We start from the raw sequence: 24,818 nt of genomic DNA, 5'->3' as shown, positions 1-24,818 counted from the left end.
AATGAACCCTGGATCCCGGCTCAGCTGTGTCTAGAACTGCTTCTCAAGCCTGGGGCCATCAAACGCAGGCTCCTGTCACACACAGCCTGCTCGAGGCCGGGGGTCCGGGGCACCCCCACAAGGGCTGCGTGAGGCCAGGGGTTCCAGGGCACCCCCACATGGCTGCTCAAGGCCAGGGGTTCCAGGGCACCCCCACATGGCTGCTCAAGGCCAGGGGTTCCAGGGCACCCCCACATGGCTGCTCAAGGCCAGGGGGTCCAGGGCACCCCCACATGGCTGCTCAAGGCCAGGGGTTCCAGGGCACCCCCACATGGGCTGCTCGAGGCCAGGGGTTCCAGGGCACCCCCACATGGCTGCTCGAGGCCAGGGGTTCCAGGGCACCCCCACATGGCTGCTCGAGGCCAGGGGTTCCAGGGCACCCCCACATGGCTGCTCAAGGCCAGGGGTTCCAGGGCACCCCCACATGGCTGCTCGAGGCCAGGGCGTCCGGGGCACCCCCACATGGCTGCTTGAGGCCAGGGGTTCCGGGGTACCCCTACATGGCTGCTCAAGGCCAGGGGGTCCAGGGAACCCCCACACGGGCTGGTTGGGCTGCTCCGCACGGCCCTTCCTCTCCAGACCCTAGCCTCCTTCGCAGCCCTGCACCCCGACCCCTGCCGCCGTGGCCTGTGGGAACCACACCCCACACTTCAGGAAGTTGTCCCCAGGCAGAGAGCCGGGCAGTCTTGCACTAGCGCCCAGGTTTCCTTCCAGGGGCTGCCGTCGTGAGCTGCCGAGGCCTCTGCGGTCTGCAGGGGCTTCTCTCCTTGTCCCCATTTGTGAGTCCCCAGGGCCAGGTAGGGACATCACTGGAAGGATGGCAGAAAGCCAGGGGCACCGGGCACCAAGCCTGCCCTACACTCTGGGGCCACTGCAGGCCTTCCTCTGGAGGGTGTGACCCCAGCCTGACAGAGGCGCAGCGCCGCCAGGGCCCCTGATGCCACGCCACCCCCGCAGCCTCATGACGCTTCTCCGCTGTCAAGTGCACATGGAGATGGCGCAGATCGAGGAGGACGAGGACCGGCTGGAGCCCGCCACGGAGCACCTCCGGAAAGCCGCGCGCCTGGACAGCCTGGGCCTCTACCGGGACAGGATCCAGATGGCCTCCACCCGGCTGCGTCTGTGCACCACGCTATACCAGGCCCCTGAGCGCGCAGAGGACAAGGCCATCATGGCCGTTGAGCAGGTGCCGCCCCGGGGAAGTGAGGGAGGCTGGGTGCTGCAGCCCCAGCATGGGGCCGGGGCGGGGCTCTGAGGGCACAGCAGGGCGGGAGCCGCCCAGGGCTGCCTGAAGCAAGGAGGCCTGGGACCGAGCTGTCACTGTGTCTATGAGCACGAGGACCACACAGGCCCCTGCCAAAGGCCAGGAGGCTCCAGAAGTTGGAGAAGGTGCTGTGGAAAGTCCAGCGGCCCCTTGCTCATCAGTCTCTGCTTTTCACAGGCAAAAAAAGCTACACCAAAGGACAGCGTCAGGAAGAAGCGGGCCCTCCTGGTGAATGCAGGCCTGGCCTTAGCCCCTGACGCGTTTCAGATTGTGCTGGACAGTGAGAATGAGGCCAAAGGTGAGCTCTGCACTGGGCTCTCCCAGCCCAGAACGGTCCACCTTGGAATGGCTCCCAGGCTGCCCCGGGGCCTCCCCAGTCCCCATGCTCCCTGCCACCGCCCCCTGGATGCACAAGGACCTTGCACCGGCAGTGTCCTTCGATCTCGGCCCGCCGGGTCTGGCAAAGCCCAGCGACGGTCTTCTGTGCACACGCCAGTCAAGTCGGGTGCCCTGTGTGCCGGGACAGACCCCACAGGCTCCGCTGCTTAGACTACGGGAACTTACTCCTCCCAGCCCCAGGCTGGAAGTCAAGGCGTGGGCAGGGCTGATTCCCCCTGAGTGCTCTTCCTTGGCTTGTGGACGCCATCTCCTCCCCGCATCCTCACAGGGCCATCCCCTCTGGGGGTCTGTGTCCTCGTTTCCTCCCTTTGGAAGGACACCAGTCAGATTGGACTAGGGTCCACCCTGATGACCTCATTTGACCCAAATTACCTCCAAAGAAGGTCATACCCTGAAGTCCTGGGGGCGAGGACTTCAACACACCCTGCTCTGGGGAATGGGGTTGAGCCACTGCCTGAGGCACAGGACGGGGCTCCCTGGATCACGGGGGTCAAAGCTGAAGCCATCACATCTGTCCCAGGGAGACCCTGAGCTGGCTTTGGGTAATGGGACACGGGGCCGTACGGCCCATGTGCGGGGACTGAGCCAGGGTTCGGCAGGTGTGTTGCATCCTCACTGCCCGAGCTTCTCTGGGCACTCGCCAGTGGCTCTGGGAACGCAGGCGGCCCCACTCTCTCCAGCCCAGTGCAGGGGCCAGGCTGGGCCTGGCTTGGGAGCCCTTCCCGCTGGTCCCCTGAGGGTCCTGCTGGGGGCTGCTGCCAGGCCTCCCTCCAGCTCAGTGCCCAGCAGCCGGCGGCTTTCACCCAGCACGACGAACCAGGTGTCACCCAGACTGCAGCCTGTGGAGATGGTGGTCGGGAGTGGAGCTGCTGGGTCATGTCTCGGGTCTGAGACGAGGAGATGGGCAGACGCAGGGTGGGTCGCGCCCTGCAAGGGAAGGTTGGCGACTCTTGGAGCGGGAAGGGGCTGCCGCCCTGTCATCCACCGCCCTCAGATGCTGCCGCACCTGTGCTTTCATTTTGCCCTAATGAGTTTGAGGAGCAGCTGCAGATCCACCAGTAGGACCCAGACTCACCTGTTTTGCCTTCCTGACTCCTTTCACTCATGGGCGTGTGCTGCTGGCTGCCTGGGGGTCAGGTGCATGTCCACTGCTGGCTGTGGGGCCGAGACAGCACCTACACCCAGCAGGAGGTGCTGCGGGGCCCTGCCCAGGGGCAGTGAGGGCGGCACGGGCTCCAGGGGAGGATGCCGTTGAGTGGCTCCTGAAGGTGAACCCCTGTGCTGGCCGAGAGGGTGGACACCAGCCAGGGGAGGCCCAGCCCCCGGGGTCGCCCATGCACAGGAGGCCCCCCAGGGTGTGGAGCTGAGTTCCGGGTGCTCGTGATTATTTGCCAGGAAAAGGAGCGGTGATTCGGAACATCTGGCGTCATGCGGATAAACCTGCTGGGACTTGGGGTGCTACGCAGGGGCTGGGTGGGAGCTCGGGAGTCTGAGGCCGGGTGCCTCTGCTTGGAGGGCAGCTGGACAGCGCAGCCAGCAGAGCAGCAGGAGGGTCTTGGCAGACTCTGCTCCAAAGTTCCTGGAGCCTCCCCCACTCAGAGGAGCACTGGCTCGGCCTCATCGCCGGCAGGAGACACAGGCAATGCCACTCTGCAGCTCTGTGAGGAGCTCGGCTTCTGGGAGCCGGGGATCTAGGGCCCCTGGAGCCGCTACCTGTGGGTGGCCACCCCGGCGCCGGCGCAGGGCATTGGTTACTGATGGGCACGTCCCCGGCCCTTGGCCAGCAGCTGCAACACCTGCCTTTGCATTTCCGCCCTCAGTCTCCACCGGGAAGAACAGGGGCCGGTTCACCTACCTCTGTGCGAAGGCGTGGCACCACACCGTCAGCGTGGACAAAGCTGCCGGGCACCTGCGGCGCCTGGGCAACGAAAACGACAAGGAGAGGTGAGTGAGGAAAAGGCCAGAGCGCCACGCACAGCTCAGCCCGGGGGTCGCTCAGCCCGAGGGCCAGTGTCTGTGGCGGCTGAGCTGACCCTGCATGTGGCCGTCTGGGGACTCGCCAGGCCACCTGCTCCAGGATGGTGGGACGAGGTCCCTGCCTGGGAGTCCCGCCACAGACGGGACCCCCCAGCCTGTGATGACAGCCACGGCCTATGAGGTGTGCGGCTGCCCTGTCCCGCCTGTCACTGCTGTCACTCGGAGGACACGCAGCGCCTGTGACCAGAGCAGGCTGATTTTTGGTACCGACCCTGCGGTCGGTACCATCCCCGGGAGGCCTGTCCCGTGCACTCCCCCGGGGAGTGGATTGTGTGGCCTTTCTTCTCACCACAGGGAAGGGAGGTGCCGCGCACAGCTGGCTGGCAGGGAGAGCGGAGAGCTGCGCCCGACCCTGGGACATGCACCCGCCAGGCCGTACCCAGCGCGAGTGCCGGGCTCCTTGCCACCTTGAAACTGCAGAGCCACAGTGGCCTTTTCTCAGGCAGCCAGCCCAGGTGTTTTCTAACTTCAGCAACCACACTTGTCTACTCACCTTTCACTCGTTTGGGTTCTCGGTGAGCAGGATACAGATTTGGGCAGAGCTGGCCAAAGTGGCCCGGAAACAAGGCGTGTGGGACGTCTGTCGGACGGCGAGCCGCTTCTGCCTCCTGTATGACAACGTCAAGGTGAAGAAGTTGAGGCTGCGGCGAGGTTCGTACCCGCCCTCACGAGTGTGTCCCAGCCTGGCCACGGCCGCCCTCTGGGTGTGGGAAGGGTTGTGGTTCGTGCAATGACAACCCATGGGGCCTTCGCATGAGAAAGCGTATTGCTAAGTCACAATGGTAGCAGTTCCCACTAATTATCAGGACCGCCAATCATGGGGCGGCGGCCACATCTGGCTGTGTCGGCCGAGCCACGAGCACCGTCGTCACACTCCATCTTCAGTCACTGGGGGCCTCGGAGGCTCAGGCAGGGGCCACCACAGCCAGTGAGCAGATGCCCATGCGGGGCACCTGCAGGCAGAGGGCAGTGGCCACAGGCCCAGCGTGGAGCGGGACATGGGTGGGGCAGGCTCATCAATCAGCACCCGGCCCTGGAGAGGCTCCTGTCTCAGGGACAATCAGGACCCGGAGGGACGAGGGAGGTGACAGAACGGGCACAGGGGGTCTGGGAGTCCTGCAGGAGTCAGGGAGGGCACCCCCCAAGAAGGCAGGGGATGCAGGAGGAGTTGGGAGAGCCACAGGTGCCAAGAGCATCTGCAGGGATGTGGCCAAGAGCAAGCCCTGGCTGGGAGCCAGCACTCCACCCACCTCCGCCATCCCACGGAGAGCTCCTCCAGCCTCTTCCTGGGCAAGCTGCCCACCTCCCGCCTACCCGCCCACCTTGGCGGACCCTACACGGAGCTGGGGAGAGGCTCAGGCACTCCAAGATGGTTCAGGAATTCTTGTGTTTTTATTTATTTGCTAGAAAAAAACATGATCCTTACCTGCTGCCATTTCTCTCAGGGAAGAAGAAGCGAGGTAGGGACGGCTCGGTGCAGGACACCTGGAGCCAGCCTGAGGTCGTCCTGCAGAGGCAGGTGTGCCCCGACCTGCTGCGGAAGTTCGCGGAGGTGGGGTTCATCCATGCTGAGGTGCGTCATGGAGAGGGGGGTTCATCGGTGCTGAGGTGCGTCGTGGAGAGGGGGGTTCATCGGTGCTGAGGTGCGTCGTGGAGAGGGGCGTTCATCGGTGCTGAGGTGCGTCGTGGAGAGGGGGGTTCATCGGTGCTGAGGTGCGTCGTGGAGAGGGGGGTTCATCGGTGCTGAGGTGCGTCGTGGAGAGGGGGGTTCATCGGTGCTGAGGTGCGTCGTGGAGAGGGGGGTTCATCGGTGCTGAGGTGCGTCGTGGAGAGGGGGGTTCATCGGTGCTGAGGTGCGTCGTGGAGAGGGGGGTTCATCGGTGCTGAGGTGCGTCGTGGAGAGGGGGGTTCATCGGTGCTGAGGTGCGTCGTGGAGAGGGGGGTTCATCGGTGCTGAGGTGCGTCGTGGAGAGGGGGGTTCATCGGTGCTGAGGTGCGTCGTGGAGAGGGGGGTTCATCGGTGCTGAGGTGCGTCGTGGAGAGGGGGGTTCATCGGTGCTGAGGTGCATCCTGGAACTGGGGCTTATCAATGCTGAGGTGTGTCCCTGCACCACAGCGTCAGAGGGTTGCTTTCCTGCATCCACACAACCTGCTGTGGGGCAGGTGTTGGTGTCCACGTGGCCTGTTAACCCACTGCAGATATTTATTGTCATAGAACCTTCTGTGCTTCAAACAAAATGAATATGAGGGAGGGAAAACTTCCTGGATTCTTGGGAGATTTTCTAGGAGAAAAATATAAACCAAAGTGTGCATGGGTGTAAATTTCTCTTGGGAATCATTTCTGAGTGGTGAATCTGCAGTTGTGTGGATGACACACGGCAACCGCCACTCGGTGGGGAGATGGTACCTCGGCATTTGCTGCAGAAGCGCATTGAATGTGGCGTGATGTCCAGGGTCCCTGTGATGGGGCCGCCAGGCCTGTTCCTCCCACGCAGGCTCAGAGACTCCCGGGCTCGCCCTGCCCAAAGTCAGCAGGTAGAAATGGCGGAGTGGGATCCAAACCCAGCCCTGGGACCTCGGGTCCGAGCTCGCAGCCACCGCGCTGCACCAACACAAGTGTGGCCCTTGTGACATTGTGTGACTTCAGAGTTCCCAGAGCCACTCTCGGTTAGGTTTCTGTGGACTTTCTCAGTGGGTGCGTGGCCATCAGCCCTGGAGGACAGGGCACCTGCCGATTTAGGCAGTATGTCTGCTGAGTGGCTCCCAGGTGCCAGGCCCATGCCCTCAGCTGGGGTCAGGGTGAGAAGCGGCACAGAACTCTCTGCTCAGGGAGCCGGAGGCCACATGGCAGAACCAGAGCCAGCGGCGGCCACGGGGCTGTGCCACATGGTCATCCACGCCCCGGAGGCCAGCGCAGACCTTTCCCCTCAAACATTTAAAACGTAATGATTACGTAGGGGAGGTGCAAATGCTGGCCGGTGTCTGCTGATACCGGGAAGCCACTGTTGGTCCTTCGGGGCTGCTGGGGTGTGCGGTGCTCTGGAAGGACCTTCTCTTCCCTGACCCTTGTGCTAATGGGTGGAGAGAGTCTGTGAGGAGCTGGCTTTAGTCCCTGGAGTGGCTATTGGGGCAGGCCCAGCTTGCAAAGGGCACAGCAAACGGGTCTCACAGCCTGTGCTTGGCATTTTCAAATCAGAGCTGAGGGAAGGGCGTGTGTGTTTCCTATCTGGTGCTGGGCCCGTGCTCCGCCCATGACCCCTCCCACCGCATGTGTGTTTTGCAGGCCACGGTTCATTTGCTGCGGTCAGAAGGTGTAGAGCTGAATGACCGGGCCATCCCCCCCGAAGACCTGAGCCAGCACCCAGCTGGCTACGTGCCTGAGCCCCCGGAGGTGAATGCTGAGTGGATCACATACAGGTGGGCAGAGGCGACAGTGGCCTTGAGCACCGCCCGGGGCCGTGGGTCAGAGTGTCCCCTGCACTCAGGCTGGCGTGGGGAGGGACACCCTTTGCATTCGTAAGGACACCGGCTTCTTGCGTGGGGGACGTGTCCATCGTCACGTAAATGACTGAGACCATGAAAGAGAAAATGGGGTGACGTGGCCTCTCCTGTTTTTAGCCGTCGTTCCTCGCAAGACCCCAGGCGTAGTTTGCTGTTACTACGAGGAAACGTTCAGGAGTGTCTTTTCCAGCGTCCTGTAGTGTCCCTCTTGCTCACCCTCGTCAGGCCCTCTGATGATGCGTGAAAGGCAGCTGCTAGGGAGGTGGTCTTCGTGGCAGAAAATAGAAGGAGCAGCTTCTGTATTTGCTCAGAGGAAAAGCTGTGCTCTCCCTCCTATTGTGGGAAAAGCTATCGAGGACTGCCTTGGCCTCGAAAACGCCTTGTGTGTCAATAAGAAAATTTAGTTTGTACAGAACATCTCACAGGATTTGCTGACGTGAGGTTCCAAGTTCAGAAAGAATTGAAATTGGAGTGCTTGTACCAGCAATGATGGTTTTTACCTATTTTTAATATAAAATTAAATATTTTTAACTTATTTTTTTAATTGACAAGAATTTTACCGTTTTTGGGGTGCATAGTGACGTTTTGATCTGTGTAACGTGGTGATCAGATCTGGGTAATCAGCGAATCCGTCACGCTGGACGTGCGTTGTTTCTCCATGTTGGGAATGTTCGATGTCCCCCTTCCAGCATCCCTGTAAACTATAGTCGCTCGCCGTGCATAGGACACGGGAACTTATCCCTGCAATGCAGCTGCGTCAAGCACACGAACGTGGTAAGCTCGGGTGTCCCCGACTATCCATGCATCAGAAGCTGGGCACGGCACCCCGCCCTCGCCGGTCCCTCGGGGCAGAAGCTGGGCACGGCGCCCCGCCCTCACCGGTCCCTCGGGGCAGAAGCTGGGCACGGCGCCCCGCCCTCGCCGGTCCCTTGGGGCAGAAGGAAAGCCAGCTGTCCCTGCTTGCCATGCACGCCTGGAGCCACCCGGCCGAGCTCTTTGGAGGGAAGAGGTGGTCAGGCAGCAGCAATGACGATGACGGCTGCAGGTGGCCTTTGTCTTGGCCTCTTGGGATCCCTCTCCTGCAGCAGCTCCGGGCTCTGTGAGGAGCCACCGGGCCCAGGCCCACCCCGGGCCTCCAGCCCTCACAGCCCCGTCATTTCAGGCAGGGGCTCCAGATGCCTTTCCAGGACCCAGGCCCAAGGCTGGGCAGAGCTCTGCACTCCTGGTGGGCCTGCTCACAGACAGAGGAGGGTCTGAAAATTAGGGCTCAAGCCGTTTGCAGCCTGTGAGCTGAGAGTGGCTTTGACACTTTTAAATTTGTAAAACAAAATAGAAAAAATATACAGTGAAGACTATATGGAGCTTGCAAAGCTCAAAATGCTATTTGGCCCCTTATAGAAAAAGTTTGCCCAGCCTGGTCTAGCGGGACGGACAGACCCTGTCCACGTCCACACGGCTGAGTGAGGGCTGACTGCCCTGCGCTCGGTGTGACGGCTCCCTGGGGAAGGGCAGAGCCTGCATGTGATTCAGGTGGGGAGGAAGAGGGAGACGCTCACTTGGGCAGAAGGGAGGGCGGCGCTTCACAGTGTGGAGCGAAGCCAGGAGGCTCAAGGGAGCTGCAGTGTGGCTGGACACAGCCTCGGGCCGGGGTGCAGTGTGGCTGGACACAGCCTCGGGCCGGGGTGCAGTGTGGCTGGACACAGCCTCGGGCCGGGGTGCAGTGTGGCTGGACACAGCCTCGGGCCGGGGTGCAGTGTGGCTGGACACAGCCTCGGGCCGGGGTGCAGTGTGGCTGGACACAGCCTCGGGCCGGGGTGCAGTGTGGCTGGACACAGCCTCGGGCCGGGGTGCAGTGTGGCTGGACACAGCCTCGGGGCGGGGTGCAGTGTGGCTGGACACAGCCTCGGGCCGGGGTGCAGTGTGGCTGGACACAGCCTCGGGCCGGGGTGCAGTGTGGCTGGACACAGCCTCGGGCCGGGGTGCAGTGTGGCTGGACACAGCCTCGGGGCGGGGTGCAGTGTGGCTGGACACAGCCTCGGGGCGGGGTGCAGTGTGGCTGGACACAGCCTCGGGCCGGGGTGCAGTGTGGCTGGACACAGCCTCGGGCCGGGGTGCAGTGTGGCTGGACACAGCCTCGGGCCGGGGTGCAGTGTGGCTGGACACAGCCTCGGGCCGGGGTGCAGTGTGGCTGGACACAGCCTCGGGCCGGGGTGCAGTGTGGCTGGACACAGCCTCGGGCCGGGGTGCAGTGTGGCTGGACACAGCCTCGGGCCGGGGTGCAGTGTGGCTGGACACAGCCTCGGGCCGGGGTGCAGTGTGGCTGGACACAGCCTCGGGGCGGGGTGCAGTGTGGCTGGACACAGCCTCGGGCCGGGGTGCAGTGTGGCTGGACACAGCCTCGGGCCGGGGTGCAGTGTGGCTGGACACAGCCTCGGGGCGGGGGCCAGAGGTTTGCAGGGGTGAGCGGGGGTCCCATGGCAGGTGTGAGCACTCGTGGCCACGGGAACCAGCCAGGGGCTGTTGGAGGTGTCCAGGGAGGATGAGGACAAACTGGAACGAGGGGGCTGCTGGGAAAGGGGAGCACCAGGCCAGGCTTCAGGTGGAGCGCGCAGGCCGGCGGGGGGCTGGGTGGAGGGGTGGGGCAGAGACGCTCTGCCCCATGCAGCCCCCACAGGAGCCCCTTTCTGAGCCCAGGGCTCCACAGACTTCCGGAAACAAGAGAGTCTCATAGGAAGAGTCCACACTCTCTTTAGCGAGGGCGGGTGGGGAAAGACCGTCTCACACTTAGACACCATCCAGCCGTCCCAGCGGTTTCAGCCCCAGGGACTGGTTTCGTGGGAGACAGTTTTTCCACGGACTGGCTGGGTGGAGGCTGGTCGCGGGATGAAACGTTTCCACCTCAGATCATCAGGTGTTCAATTCTCGCAAGGAGCACGCGGCCTAGATCCTTGGAATGCGCTGATCGCAATAGGGTTCGCGCTCCTGTGAGACTGGAATGCAGCTGTTGATGGGACGGGAGGCGGGGCTCAGGTGGGAGTGCCAGCGGCGGGGCGACTGTAAATGCAGATGGAGTTTGGTCGCCGCCCACCCGCCCCTCCCACTTCTTGCCCTGCAGCCTGGTTCCTAACAGGCCCCGCAGCCTTCCTGGTGCCTGGCCCCGGGGCTGGGGACCCTGCATTAAGGGCTTGGTGGTGCTCGTTTTGCAGAACCTGGATCGAGAGTCTGTCCCGGTGTGCCATGAATAACTGGCTGCGCTCCGCAGAGATCGGACAGGAGATCCAGGAGGCGTGGATTGTGCAGAACGCCGTGGTCTACGTCCTGAACCACAACCACCACCTGATCCTGGCCGGGCGGCAGAAGGAGCTGGTGGACGCCCTGTACCACCTCCTGAGCATCGTTAAGGCCACAGGCCACAGTGGGTGCGTGTGGGCTGTGCTGCGTTCACGCAGGGAGGGGCTTCTTCCCTTGGGAGACCCCAGAGCAAAGGCAGGCAGCTGCACTCCATGGCCCTCTGTGTCCCAGCAGAGGAGGGTCGTGGGCACCCGTGCATCTCAGGCCTCTTACCGTGACCTGAGGACTCAGCACATGGGATCGGGGCGAGGCCTGCGGGGGCCAAGGTTCCCTCTGACAAGCATGTCTCCCAGGGACCCCGTGATGCTGGTGACGCTCTGCAACACCTTGGCGCGAGGCCTGATCATCAGCTGGATTCCAGTCCAGGCTGCCGAGAAGTCCAGGAAATTCATGCGACCAAACGCGTTTCACAGCCCACTGGACGCAGGAGCCACTTCCGAGATCAAAACAGCGGTGGAGGTACCACCTCCATGATGCCGAGAGAGAGAGAGAGAGAGAGAGAGAGAGAGGAGAGAGGAGAGAGAGAGAGGAGAGGAGAGGTGAAAGAGGAGAGAGGTGAAGAGAGAGAGAGAGGAGAGGAGAGAGGTGAAGAGAGAGAGAGGAGAGGAGAGAGAGGTGAAAGAGGAGAGAGAGATGTGAAGAGAGAGAGAGGTGAAGAGAGAGAGAGAGGAGAGGAGAGAGGGAGGTGAGAGAGAGAGATGAGCAGAGAGAGGAGAGGAGAGAGAGGCGAGAGAAGCAGAGAGAAGAGAGGAGAAAGAGAGGAGAAGAGACAGGAGAGAGAGAAGAAGAGAGGAGAAGAGACAGGAGAAAGAGAGGAGAGAGAGAGGAGGAGAGAGGAGAAGAGAGAGGAGAGGGAAGAGAGAGAGAGGAAAGAGGACAGGAGAGAGGAGAAGAGAGAGGAGAGGGAAGAGAGAGAGAGGAAAGAGGACAGGAGAGAGGAGGAGAGAGAAGAGAGAGAGGAGAGAGAGAGAGATGTGGGGGTGGGGGGGTGGGGGTGGAGGGAGAGAGCAGGGAGGCAGCTGACCTGAGACAGAGCCCTGCAGACCTGTAGCTGGAGGCTGGGGCTGAGCTTCTGAAGGCTCCTGGAAAGGCCCTGGGAGAGCAAACTGCCTTCAGTGGAGGCGACAGACGTGAGAACAATCTAGGAAGTAAAACGTCAGGGGCTCCAGTTACTGGGAAATAAGGCCAGGGCTGGAGAGAGGAAAACAAGACCCGTGGGTGGGTGTGAGGCCTCCCCTCAGGGCGGGCTCCAGGCCTAGAGGAGAGTGGAAATAGAACCAGAAACGGCGGATTGGAACGGCGAGAAACAGGGACCACACCACCCACACATGCAGCCGTCCCAGTAAAATGCAGCAGACCCAGTGTGTGGGACGATCCTGGTGGCCCAGGCGGATCATTTATCCCATGGAATGTGGATTTTGTTGTAATCCAAAAGGAAGGGAAAAGAAATAGTGTTCTCGTTGACAGATGCTGCAGAAGTGTTTGATGAGCCATTGCCCATTTCTAACTCAGAAGAGCCTCAAAGAACCCGAGAGAAAGCCGGTTTCCTAATGAGTCAAGGGAGTCTGTGGGGAACCTCCTGGAGCCTGTGTGTGGAGCACCCGCGGTGGGGCGGGGGCAGGGAGGCCTTGAGTGTCTCCGCAGGGGCACGGGGCGGGGGAGCTGTCCCCACCCTTGCGGAAGACTTTGTGCTAAAGCTCATCCTGCATGACCCTTTCTGGGCCATGGATAAAACCGCGGGCTGGAGAGTCTTGAGCCTGCGGCCCGGCACTCACAACGCTCACAGTCAGCTGCGCCAGGCCAGAGCCAGAGAGGGCCCTAGTGCTCCCAGCTCCCAGTGGGGACGGCTGGCCCTGGGCAGTCAGTGTGGGCCGGCCAGGAACACCGGCTGTGGCATCAGGTGCAGGTCGTTCTTCCGAGAAGGGACAAGGGGCCGGCTCCGGGGACCTACAGGGATCAGGCTGGAGGCTGCGGAGGGGAGGGCGCCGTGGGCGGCTCAGGCAGCTGTGGGTGCAGCTGAGCCTGCTGTGGGCCCTGGGAGGCAGCTGGGGGGTGCAGAGGAGCTTCCCTCTTAGATGTGATGATGGCTGGATCCAGATGCTGAGAGGAAATGCCAGCACCGACTTGGCAGCCCGGGAACACGGAGTGAATGGCGGAGAGTGTGAGGAAGCCGGCTTGGGCGGTGCCTGGACTGGGCATGTGCACAACCGCACGGGGAGTCAGGTGGTGAACAGGGGAGTGAGTGCTCCCCAAACACATTCCGATGGGATGGCTGTGTGGAACTTGACAAATGTTTGGAAGTTTATCCAGAAGGAAGGATGGAGGGGAGGAAAGGGAAGGACGCTGCCCAGTAGGTGTCTGTGCTACCAAGACGTTTTGCAAGGAGCAGGTGTTCACAAGGCAGCGAGAGATGGGACATCCCTGGGTTAGCAAGAGGTCACTCCCGGTGGCCAGTGCTTCCTGCACCGGGCGAGGCTCTGAACAAGGACTCACCGATCCTCACGACGACCCATAGACTGGGTTTCATTTCTACATAGAGATGAGGAAACTGAGGCGCACAGCATGAAGAAACTCACCTGGTCACACGGCCAGCAAGACAGGGAGCTGGGGCGCAGCCCAGGGGCTCAGGGCAGCAGCCCACATGCCCGTCACTGCAGGCAAAGCACGTGGCAGATTTCACGCCCCCACTTTCGGGGCTCCGTCCTTGCTGCCCCACCCCCAACCGATACCAGCTGCAGTGGGGGAGGGGTGCTGGCTCAGCTGCTCCTTCCTGCGGGGTCCCAGGCCCATGCCGTGGGGACAGCTCAGGAGTGAGGGCCGGGGCGCACTGGAGGCCAGGTGGCAGCTGCGTCCTCGGCGTCTGGGGGTGGGGCTTCATCTGCTGGGTTTGTGGTGCAGCCGCTGGTGGGCCTGAGGTCTCGTGTTTAAGGCCCTTCACGGGCTGGATCAGGAGCGGGCTCCATCCATCTTTTAATGGTTCGGATCTTGGCTCAAGGTCCCCTGTTTAGAATTCAGGTTTCGTGACCGAGAACACGTCTGTCCTAGGTCTGCGAGTTTGCCCTGAACCTGACCAATGGGAGTGCGCCCGAGGAGACGGTGCCCACCGGCACCCGGCAGCAGCTTATCGCCACCTGGGTCAAGGCCAAGCAGCTGCTGCAGCAGCAGATTGGGCCACGGCTGGGCACCGAGGAGCAGGTGGGCGCCCCTGCCCACATCTGGGCTCTGACTGAGGCCCTGTGGACATAGAGATCTGAGACAGCCGGGGGTGGTGGGGCCCCCGGGACCACTTAGCTCCAGATGGAGCCATCACGGATGGCCTGGGCACTCCCTTTTCCCACTGAGCTCACCGCCGCTGGCTGCCCTTGAGTGTGGCACGGGGCCTCCTCTGCCCACCCGTCCACGGGGTCTGTGAGCTGCTGGGCCTGTGGGGGTGCTGCGCTCTCCCAAGGAGGAGTGGGCCCAGGGCCGGCCCCATGAGCTCCTGGAAAGCCAGATGGAGGAGGGGCCTTGGAGCCTGGCCAGGAGCCAGGCCCTAGTGGGGCCCAGGGAGGCGGGGAGGGTCCAGGTGTTGACCTGCCTGCCCCAGCAGCCACCATGTCAGGCCCACTGGTCCTTCCCTCCTCGGGGGTCACCCAGCCTTCAGACAAGGCTGCCTCACACATGGGGGCCGCACGGACTTGGGGCTCCTCGTTGTATGAGAAGATGACCTGCAGGTCAACAGTTACAAAAACAGCCTAAGGTATAAACGCTCCCAATTTTGTGGTCTGATTATTGCCATAAAACTAATACCTTGCAGTGTTAAATTCACGCATATTCCAGACTCCCCCCGCACGCTTGGGCTGATACACTCAGGGCATCCTCCCCACCAGGGCACCAATGAGGATGTCAGCTCGGTGACCAGAGTCCTCGTTGCCTTGGAAATGTACTCATGCAACGGGCTGGGCCTCATGGACTTCACTGTCCCCTCCCTGGCCCAGGTAGGTGTCCCCAGGGGTCCCGGGAGGCCAGGGGCCAAGAGGCGAGGACGCCGAGGCTCTTGCCCTAGGTGGCTGGAACTCGAGCCCCATCGTGCATGCTCACCCCCACTCTGCCCCGCTCTCCCCCACCTCCCAACGGAGCTGCGCCCCCTCGACGCACTTCCTTCAGCTCCATGCTCAGAGCATCCCTGTCTCCTGGTGCGAGGCAAACGCTGTTTGAGCGGACCCTCCATTCCCACCCAACCCTGAGCCGCTCAGGGGCAGCCAAGGGCTGCACACGCCAGTCCCGTGTCCAGGACACCCTGTGGGGTGTGGGAGCTACAAGGACATCAGGGGTCCTCACAGGCACGGACGTGGCAGCTCAGCTTTTGTGGCACGGTGGCCCTTCACAGGCCACGCCTCTGCTTAGGATCACATGCGCTGCGTGGTCCGTGGGGGCTGCAGGCCGTGGGAAGTTCGTTGTTGCTAACACGGTGCCCCTTCTCTTGCCACCCACCGGAAGTTGGTGAAAATGGCTTCCGAGTGCAACTGGTCGGACCCCCTGGTGGAGCTGCAGACCCTGACGCGGCTGACCCACTTCGCCCATGCAGCGCGTGACCATGAGACCACCATGGCCTGTGCTCACAGGGCTCTGGAGATGGGCATCAAGTACCTGAAGAAATTTGGGCCGTAAGTAACCCTCATGACTGGACAAATTCCCTCAAAACGGGCAGGGAGCGCAGGCCTGGGCCTCAATCACAGATCAGGGAGCAGGTGAGCGCCCCACCAGTTCCCCAAAACGGGCAGGGAGCGCGGGCCTGGGCCGCGATCACAGATCAGGGCGCGTGTGAGCGCCCCACCAGGTCCCCAAAACGGGCAGGGAGCGCGGGCCTGGGCGGCGATCACAGATCAGGGAGCAGGTGAGCACTCCACCAGGTCTCCAGGCCCAGTCCAGAAAGCTTCCCACAGGCCTCAGCCATGTGCACAGGCAGCCTCCGTCCTGCCGGCCCCGTGCCCTCATGGACAAGTCAGCAGTGGCCCCGTGGAAAGCTGGTCAGGAAGGATTCTGAAGTCACGTGGGCCTCAGCAGGAGGGGTGTGTGGCCTGCTGGCCGCGTGTGCATTGTAGGCACAGAAAGGGGGGGCCTCAGCCTTCAGAGGCTGGGACAAAGGGCCACAGACCGGGGGGCTCCCACCCCAGATGGTTCCTGCTCACAGTTCCGGAGGCTGGAAGTGCCATCGAGGTGTGGCAGATTCGGCGTCTGCGAGGGCCCCTTCCTGTCTCACAGACGGCGCCTCCCGCTGTGTCCTCACATGCGGGAAGGGGCAGGGCTCTCTGGGGTCCCTTTCATAAGGGACTAACCCTGTTTGTGAGGGCTCCATCCCCATGATCCAACCCCCCTCAAAGGCCATCAAAGGCCACCCCAACACCATCACTGTGGGGGTGAGGATCGCCCAGCATGGGAATTTTGAGGGGACACGGACACTCCGCCCATGGCAGGTCGAAGGGAATTTTGAGGGGATAGGGACATTCAGCAGGTAGACAGCTGCCATTTCTAACGACATACAGCTTTGAAGTAATTTTGAATAGACAGATATGCACGCTAATTAAATTTGAAAATAAATAAGGGTAATTTCAATGAAAGAAAATGGCCTCTGACTTGGGTCCCTCGCTCACTCTCCAGAGTCAGCCGTGCCGCCAGGTCCCCGTCGTCAGCATAGCTGGACACAGAACATTCTCATTCTTTAATTTTCACGGATCTCACTTTTAGTGGCTTACCGTGTTCCATCCAGTTGAGCAATTGTTATCATCCCTAATCTTTCCCCAATTTTTGAATATGAGGCTGTTTTCCATCTGTTGCTATTGTAAATGTTTCTGCAGTAAAGGTTGTTTTCCTTGAGGTTCTTTTTGGCTAATTTCCTGGGTCTAATAATCCTGGAAGATGAAACCGCTGACCCAAAGGCTGTAACGATGTTTTCTGTGGCCAAATGGCCAGCGTGGGCAGCACCTGCCGGAGGCAAGGAGCGCCCCAGGCCCACGCCCCATCTTCCCACAGCCCTGCACACCAGGACGGCTCCAGGGCCTGTGTCGGCCACACCCGTGGGGATGCGAGGCCAACATAGGAACGTGCCAAGATGCCTTTCACGTCGGCAACTTCCACGTGTCCGGGGTCTCCTGGGTGCTCAGAGGCACAAGCAGGCCAGTGCTCAGGACTGGATACCATGTACCAGGCCCCCCATTCACTCAGTGCCCAGCACGGGGCATCACGCGCCAGGACCCCATTCACTCTTCTCAGTGCCCAGGATGGGGCATCACACGCCAAGACCCCGTTCACTCTTCTCATTGCCCAGGATGGGGCATCACGCGCCAGGACCCCGTTCACTCTTCTCGGTGCCCAGGACGGGGCATCACGCGCCAGGACCCCGTTCACTCTTCTCAGTGCCCAGGACGGGGCATCACGCGCCAGGACCCCGTTCACTCTTCTCAGTGCCCAGGACGGGGCATCACGCGCCAGGACCCCGTTCACTCTTCTCAGTGCCCAGGACGGGGCATCACGCGCCAGGACCCCGTTCACTCTTCTCAGTGCCCAGGACGGGGCATCACGCTCCAGGACCCCGTTCACTCTTCTCAGTGCCCAGGATGGGGCATCACGCGCCAGGACCCCGTTCACTCTTCTCAGTGCCCAGGACGGGGCATCACGCGCCAGGACCCCGTTCACTCTTCTCGGTTGGCAGGCACTACTGTTCCCAGGCTCTAGAGCAGGAAATGGGCAGGCAGAGGCCAAGTTGCTTCTGAGGCCACCCAGCTGGGGTGAGTGGCAGAGCTGGGACTGAACCCAGGCGATGGGCTATAAGCACTGCCTTGGCAGGGGTGAGACTGCGAGTGCTCAGGAGGCTGCGAGCCCTGCCAGGAGCTGTGCACCTGGGACCCTGCCCTGCTGGCCTGGCACTGCCATGCGTGGTGCCCCACGTTCACAAGGGGGGCTAGAGGGAGAGCGTGGCAGCAAAGGGCCGGAGCAGAGTTGGTCTGGAGCCCAGTCCCGCTGTTTTCTCTTTGCCAACATCGACGGGCTTTTCACTGCAAATGATCTTTCTTCCAAAACAGTATGGACAGGATTCCATGCCAGGCCCCCCTCTTTGGCATCCCTCTGTTGGAGGCTAGAGGTTACATTTTCCCTGCAGCCTGTAATAAAAATCAATTTGCTTCCAAAAGGAAAACTCACCTCCTTTGATGTCCCTCCCTAGCCTTCCTTGCAGGTGGGGCTGGGGGTGCGTCCCCAGCCCTGCAGCTCTGGCATAAGCAGGAGATGCCTGCCACCCACCCTGGCCCCTCAGGCCCTGGATGTGCTGAGGCTGAAAATACATCTGCCTGGCTCTGGACATGCTGAGATACCAGGCCAGGATCAGAGGTGTCTCTGGAAGTCTCTGTCTGACACCAGGCTGAGATCAGAGGAGCAGGAAATAGAACTGCCCCAACCTTCTCAGCAGCCACCACTTGAAGCAAAAAGAAAATAGAACGTTCCACGTGGAGGTAATTGTCAGCCTGGAATTCAAGCTCACCCAAACCATCAGTCACATATCAGGTCAAAATAAGCCATTTTAGACAAAAGGACCCAGAGAGTGTACTTCCCATACACCATTTTTAGAAAGTTTCTTGAGGATATGATCCAGAAAAACAAGGAAGTAAACCAAAAAAAAAAAAAAAAAGGAAAGATATGTGGGATGCTAGAAATAACAGATTCAACCTAGAAAGGTAGTCAAGAGCTGTCCCCAGATGGACGCTGTGCGGAGAGAGCTGTCTGACTGCATTGGGTGGCTCAGGAGGACCCTGGGGAGGGCGGGGAGACAGAGTCCCTCATAGGACGGATGGGGACAGTTCAGAGGCGTACACCAGTTAGAGAGTCCGGGAAACCAAGTCATTTACAGCCGGACTCTCCAATGAGAAACATGGTGTTCACTGATATTCCACTTTTAGGATTAACTTGTTGACAAAGAAAGAAGCATTTTGACAAAAGGAAAGGATTGATTTTGACAATACAAAAGTGAAGGAAAAGCGCAGATAACATATGCTGGTAGAGCAGGAAGGACGAGCTAAGGGAAGCGTGGGTGTTGTGGTCCTCACCGGGAAGGTGAGTCACCAGGGTCACAGTGGGGACCAGAAGATGAGAGGCTGGCGTGACGTCGTAGGTGCCAAGGTGATAGGTGGGGATTAAGTGTCATGCGGTCACTGGCCACACAAGTCAGTTGGAAGGGGCTGCAGGGGGTCTGAGTGAGCTGAACTGCATTCACCCTCGTAAGGAGCCTGTAGGTCGAGGCTGCAGCAAGCCGTGATTGTACCACTGCGCTCCAGCCTGGGTGACACAGCGAGACTCTGTCTCCAAACAAAACAGAACAAACATTATTTCTAAGAGAAATAAACTACAAAGACAGCGTCATAGAGGTGAGGGTGCAGAGTGCTGCTGCATAAAGCCTCCTCATAACTGAGTTACAATTACTTCCCCAAGTGTGGAGGGCAGAGCGGCACACAACAGGAGGATGTGGGGGCTGGGCGCCCTGGCCGTGCCACTGCTGTGTAAATTGACTTAAAAATCATTTTTTCTGTTAAATTAGCTAAAGCTGTAAATTTAAACATATGGTGACAGGGAAAAGGAGAAGTCATATGAGACTGGAAAAATTGGATTTCCACGTTAAGACTTTGGAAAGTCCTTTGTGGACCATTGCTGTCCTCTAGTGGCCCTTGGTGTCATTGCGTCCCAGCGGGAGCCCCTCTGCCCTGGGCGCAGTGTTGGCGCCTTTCCACCAACCGCAGGTGGGTGCTCCTGTGTGCAGGCAGCCTGGGTGCCAGGAGACTGGAGAGAACCCGCAGGCGTGCTGCTCAGCAGGAGATGATGTGGTCACCTCGCTGGTCACTGTCAGAGCCACAGGCCCTTCCCCAGTCCAGCAGGACCCATGCCCACATCCAGCAGACGACCAGCCTTTGTAAGAGATACTTTAAAAAGTTTACACATATTTCAGTTCTTCATTCTAATTTCTTTCCGTTTTGAAAATTATGTGTAGAAACTCTAGCATGGAATTTGCCACAGAGTAGCTTTTATGATAGCATTTTACACTAATAGCAAAAATGGCTTTCTGTTCTTGGTGAAAAGTACAGCAGTTACGAATGAGTTCATATTCTCAATTGTGACTGTGTGGTTGCCAAATCAGTTTCGCATTTATGCTATTAGTGTCAAGGAATATATATTATACATTTCATGTAGATTATTAAAATACACACAAAATGGGTAAAGAACAATAGTCTTAAGAGTGTCATTTGGACCTTCCAACTCAGCTCAACATTTTTATTTAACGTAATCACCAACAGTGATTTTATATATATTCACATATCATATATTTATTATGTGTAATATATTTATATTTAATGTTGTTAATAATATAAATTTAAAAGTCACCTAGTTCCGGCCTTGAAAGCATAATGGGTATCGTACTCTTGTGCTGTGAAAAAGAAAAACTGTAAAACTTGAAAATATACGTGAGACAGTTGTTTTTAGCTGTTGGACAGCAGGCAGTACCAGGCAGCCATTCTTGCTAGAAGGAAATATCGGAAGTGGGCTCCGCATTCTGCCTAAGGGAGCTTCACATGCTGCAGCCTGGAGAGCGGGCCCAGATGGAAGAGTCGCGGGGAGAAACGGGTCAGGGCTTGGGCCCAGATGGATGGAAGAGTCGCGGGGAGAAATGGGTCAGGGCTTGAGGCTGTAGCAGCTGAGGTGTCCAGGATGTGACGCGGCAGGTGGGGTGGGGCCCTCGTTCTGTGGAGCCACCCATGAGTCTGTGCCTGTCTGGTGGTAAACTGTGTGTGCACAGGACTAGATTCCAGGCCTGGCAGAAAACAGGGATGGAGGGGTCTGTACGCTGACAAGATGCCAGAGGCCATCCTGCGCTAGAGAAGTTGGAGCTGTGGCCAGCTCACATTGGGGCGTAACTCACTGAACTCCAGGCATTCAGAAAGACACACCTTAGCAATGGGGTGAGAGAAGTTGGAGCTGTGGCCAGCTCACATTGGGGCGTAACTCACTGAACTCCAGGCATTCAGAAAGACACACCTTAGCAATGGGGTGAGAGAAGTTGGAGCTGTGGCCAACTCACACTGGGGCGTAACTCACTGAACTCCAGGCATTCAGAAAGACACACCTTAGCAATGGGGTGAGAGAAGTTGGAGCTGTGGCCAGCTCACATTGGGGCGTAACTCACTGAACTCCAGGCATTCAGAAAGACACACCTTAGCAATGGGGTGAGTGCAGACTCACCCCAACAAAGCCTAAACCACATCTCAGTAGGATGAAGCTGAGCCACCAGTAATTAACTGCCTGTCAGAACAAAACCCAACACTCTTTAAAGGAAGTGGACACAATCCACACTTTCAGCAGCAGAGCCCTCACGACGTCCAGCATAAAGTAAGAAATTACTAGATGTGTGCAAAAGCAAGAAAATGTGGCTCATAACCAGGAAGAAAAGAGTAGAATAGAAAAAACAGCCAACAGACCCAGCTGTGGTGTATGTTGACATGAGCAGATGAGGAGTTGAAAACAGCTACTGTCAATATAATCAGATTTTCAATGGAAATAACTAGTGTACAGACAGGAATTTCAATAAAGAATGGAACCGATAATAAAATCACTGAATGGAATTCCTAGAAATGAAAAATAAAGTGTCTGAAATGCAAACGCCACTGGAAGAGTGTTATCATCAGGCTGGACGCTGAAGAATGATCAGTAACTTCGAATCCAGGCCAGTGGACTATGAAAACCGAAGCACAGGGAGAAAAACGGAGAAACTAAATGAACAGAGCTTCCCGTCTGTGACCCGTGGGGCCACAGAGCTTTCCGTCTGTGACCTGTGGGGCCATAGCAGGGGGTCTAACCTGAGTGTAACTGGAGTCTCAGGAGGACAGAGGCAGCAGGGGGAGGCCAAAATACACACGTTTGAAAACATAATGGCTGAAAATTTTACAAGTTGAATTAAAAATATCAACCTGGAGATCCAAGACTTTCAAGGAATCCCAAGTGGGATAAACGCAAAGAAAACCACACCTGGCTCCATCGTGGGGGAATTGTAGTCACATTGCTGAAGACCAAAGACCGGGAGCAGATCCTGGAAAGGAGTTAGCATGGGGACGGATTTGTGCATACAGGAAAACCAGGGCAAGAGCTGCTGCTGACTTCTCATCAGAAATGATGCAAACCAGAATACAAAGGATGACAGTTTTTAAGTGTTAAAAAAAGAAAACCTGTCAGTCTAGAATTCTATATCCGCCAGCAATAGTCCTCACAAATGAAGACAGAATCAAGACATTTTAAGATTAATAAGAGCTAAGAGGATCCATTCCCAGCAGATCCTCAGAAGAGGACATGCTAGAGGAGATGAAAAACACCAAAAATGGTAAATTTGGGGGTAAACATAAAAGACTTTTTTCCCTTTCAGTTCTTAAATTCTTCAAGAAACACTTGACCTTTTAAAGCAAAAATAGCATCCTATTGTGGGATTTTTCATAAATATAGAGGCAAGATGCAGGGCAGTGGAAACACACAGGGCGGGCTGAGAGGCAGCGATTCCGAGGGCCCTCGTGCCACACGTGACGTGGAGTAGGACTCAGGTGAGGTAGAGCCGTGGTTGGTGAAGGATGCACACTGCAATCCCTAGAGCAAATGCTAACAAATGGAATAAAGCAAAGAGATGTAACTAAAAATCTAATAGAGGATATGAATTGGGATACTAAAAAATATTCCATTCATGCAAAAAAAGGGAAGAAAGGAACAAAGAACATGTAAGTCAAAAGGAAAGCAAGGACCAAATGGTGGATTTGACCCATATCAGTCATTCCATTAAACGTAAACGAACCAACACTGCAGTTAAAATGCAGTTTATCTCACAGAACATAGGAGCAAGACCCAATGATAAAGTACGTACAGGAGACCCTCTTCAAATGTAAAGACACAGATACAGAACATAGGAGCAAGACCCAATGATAAACTACGTACGGGAGACCCTCTTCAAATGTATAGACACAGATTGAAGGTAAAAGGATGGGAGAGAGGCACTCTGCAAGTGCCAACCACAAGAAAGCTGGTGTCCGGTTAAACGGCCCAGGCACGCGATCCGAGGTAGACATTCCTCATGATGAAGGATTCAATCTTCAAGAAGACATAAAAATGCTAAATGTGTGTTCACCTAATAGCAGAGCTTGAAAATACAGGAAGTAAAACATGGATACGTCTACGATTCTAGCTGTAGATTTTAACATTCCTCTCTCAGCAGCTGACAGAACAAAGTAGGGGGGAAGTCACTGAGGCTACAGATGGAAGGAACAGACCTCACTCATTGGCATTTATGGAACACTCAACAACTGCATAACCCAGATCAAAATGTTTAGGACGGCAGTACCCAGGAAACTGAACTCTCCTTCCTGCCCTGCCTAGGTCGCCATGCCCGCCTTAGAAGGTGGTTTCAGCTTCAGACCACCGGCTTGCATTGGGCACTGCAGGCCCATGCAGGCCAAGGGGCAGCGCCTTCCTCCTTTGACTCCTTTGGGACAGAGGGGCAGAAGTGGCTGTCTGCTCCTGCAAGCAGATTCCTGGCTCTGGGACCCTGGCCCATGAGGGGAGTCTACCCGTGAGCCAGCATCTTTCTCATAGAATAAATCTGGTGCCTCCTCTGAGCTGAGCCGCAAGGGCGTGCTCCCCCATCCATGGCGAGAATCCTGCCTTAGTGTGTGTGGCGTTGCAGCCCCAGCCACGGCAGCCCTGGAGCAGCGAACGTCCAGGGATGAGGAGCCGTGGAGCTGATGCTGCTGTTGACACCCAGGAGTGTGCACCTGGCCAAGCTCTGGGTGCAGAGTGGACCTTCTGGGGCCAGACTTCCATGTGGGCTTGGGCAGCAGGGCTCTTAGAGGGGAGAGGCCCCAAAAGAGGGGCTGGTTCTGTGGATCTGTTGCTGCACAAGTCCCTCTAAAGATTAGTCATTAAAAAAACAGTTAATGATTCTGCCCCATGGTTCTGGGGGCTGACTGGACACAGCTAGTTAGTTTTGGGTTGGGGTCGCTCATAAGGTTACTGTGAGAGTCAGCTGGGGTGACAGTCTTGAGGGTCCACTAGCTGGATGTCCCCATAGCCCACTCCCACCCTTGCCATGTGACTGCCAGCTCCGTGGTTGAGAGCATTCCCAGGGCGGCTGTCTCCGGCACCCAGGCCACACGTGGGCACTCCAGGCCTCAGAAGACCAGGAGCCCCTTGCCCTGCATCCCTGCAGTCTAGCAAGTCCCTGAAGCTGACTCAGATTCGGGGAGGGCGGAGCCCTGTGCACATGTGCTTGTGGGCCAGGAGGTGCCCCATCTTAGAATACCACCTGTGTAGTCCACAGTTCAAGACAGTGACCCAGGGAGGGAGGACCCAAGGTGGGCCACAGTGGCCTCCCTCCTCACTGGCCCTGTTCCTGCAGCGAGGAGTCCCGGCTGGTGGCAGAGATGCTGTGCACAGCCACGGCCATCCAGGGCAGGAGCATCATGGAAAACCTGAAGGGCCGGAAGCAGCTGCGACTGGTGGCAGCCAAGGCCTTCACGGAGAGCGCCAGGTGTGTGGCTCTAAGGGGCTGGGGTGGGCTCTGTCCCTCCCCGGCCGTGCGGGACCCCTGTGCTCACCAAGGCTGTGGCCCATCCTGTGGGCCCAAGGGAGGGCTCCTGCCGGCGAGGGGAGGTGGCCGGTGCGGCCAGTTCAGGGCACAGTCTTCAGGGAGGTGCAGCGGCCCCCTCTTGCCCTTGTACCCACCTGGGCTCCTACAGCCTGGCCTTGGTGGGGGTCTGACCTCGTGCTGCCCAGAAAGGCCCACTGGAAAGGATGCAGCAGGGACTCCTGAGCAAGCCACATGCCCAGGAGGGAGCGAGCGTGTGGCTGGGCCCTGGGCGCCCGACCTTCCTGTCCCTCCTGGTCCAGCAGCTCCAGGTGGGCCCAGGTGGAGCCACCGCGTCATGACCTGCCCTCTTTTAGGTTCGGAGGCATCGCGGGCAGCAGCGCCCTGGTGATGCTGGCCGCGCGGCATTACTGGAACGCCTGGCTCCCACTGCTGTCCTCAGCCGTCTACAGGAAGAAGGCCAAGGGTGCCCTGAAGAGGCTCATCGGCATCATCAACAAGACAGAGGCCAGAAAGCAGGTGCACCAGCCCTGGAGGGGGCTCCTGACTCCCACTGAGGCCTCTAGTGGGTCTTCCAGAAAGGACCGGAGA

The 24,818-nt window shown here is 58.6% G+C and overlaps 1 protein-coding gene across 17 annotated transcripts in view, besides 3 other annotated features; it reads left to right on the top strand.

Annotated features, from left to right (window-relative positions):
• Positions 1 to 24,818, top strand: part of CFAP46 (cilia and flagella associated protein 46) — a 134,179-nt gene that overhangs the window by 18,866 nt on the left and 90,495 nt on the right. For all 17 annotated transcript variants that reach the window (XR_007061969.1, XR_007061970.1, XR_007061971.1 and 14 more), the window contains exons 12-24: positions 997 to 1,225; positions 1,481 to 1,601; positions 3,523 to 3,646; positions 4,263 to 4,390; positions 5,185 to 5,312; positions 7,023 to 7,156; positions 10,447 to 10,659; positions 10,885 to 11,050; positions 13,637 to 13,786; positions 14,461 to 14,568; positions 15,071 to 15,237; positions 24,039 to 24,170; positions 24,584 to 24,746. Coding sequence is in view for 14 of the 17 variants with exons in the window: in NM_001200049.3 (NP_001186978.2) it covers positions 997 to 1,225; positions 1,481 to 1,601; positions 3,523 to 3,646; positions 4,263 to 4,390; positions 5,185 to 5,312; positions 7,023 to 7,156; positions 10,447 to 10,659; positions 10,885 to 11,050; positions 13,637 to 13,786; positions 14,461 to 14,568; positions 15,071 to 15,237; positions 24,039 to 24,170; positions 24,584 to 24,746 (1,963 nt within the window). In the remaining 3 variants the exon portion in view is untranslated. The remainder of the gene's footprint in view (positions 1 to 996; positions 1,226 to 1,480; positions 1,602 to 3,522; positions 3,647 to 4,262; positions 4,391 to 5,184; positions 5,313 to 7,022; positions 7,157 to 10,446; positions 10,660 to 10,884; positions 11,051 to 13,636; positions 13,787 to 14,460; positions 14,569 to 15,070; positions 15,238 to 24,038; positions 24,171 to 24,583; positions 24,747 to 24,818) is intronic.
• Positions 10,065 to 10,870: an enhancer, noted in NCBI's record as "H3K27ac-H3K4me1 hESC enhancer chr10:134726339-134727144 (GRCh37/hg19 assembly coordinates)". NCBI's record gives its function as "activates a minimal SCP1, AML or CMV promoter by ChIP-STARR-seq in naive H9 embryonic stem cells {active_cell/tissue: H9 hESC(naive)}" and the evidence as "EXISTENCE:reporter gene assay evidence [ECO:0000049][PMID:30033119]".
• Positions 10,871 to 11,678: an enhancer, noted in NCBI's record as "H3K27ac-H3K4me1 hESC enhancer chr10:134725531-134726338 (GRCh37/hg19 assembly coordinates)". NCBI's record gives its function as "activates a minimal SCP1, AML or CMV promoter by ChIP-STARR-seq in primed H9 embryonic stem cells {active_cell/tissue: H9 hESC(primed)}" and the evidence as "EXISTENCE:reporter gene assay evidence [ECO:0000049][PMID:30033119]".
• Positions 18,825 to 19,325: an enhancer, noted in NCBI's record as "H3K4me1 hESC enhancer chr10:134717884-134718384 (GRCh37/hg19 assembly coordinates)". NCBI's record gives its function as "activates a minimal SCP1, AML or CMV promoter by ChIP-STARR-seq in naive H9 embryonic stem cells {active_cell/tissue: H9 hESC(naive)}" and the evidence as "EXISTENCE:reporter gene assay evidence [ECO:0000049][PMID:30033119]".

The sequence above is a fragment of the Homo sapiens genome, chromosome 10 (assembly GCF_000001405.40).
Source record: "Homo sapiens chromosome 10, GRCh38.p14 Primary Assembly".
In the NCBI taxonomy this organism is placed as follows: domain Eukaryota; kingdom Metazoa; phylum Chordata; class Mammalia; order Primates; family Hominidae; genus Homo; species Homo sapiens.
This window is presented reverse-complemented; position numbering and strand designations above follow the sequence as displayed.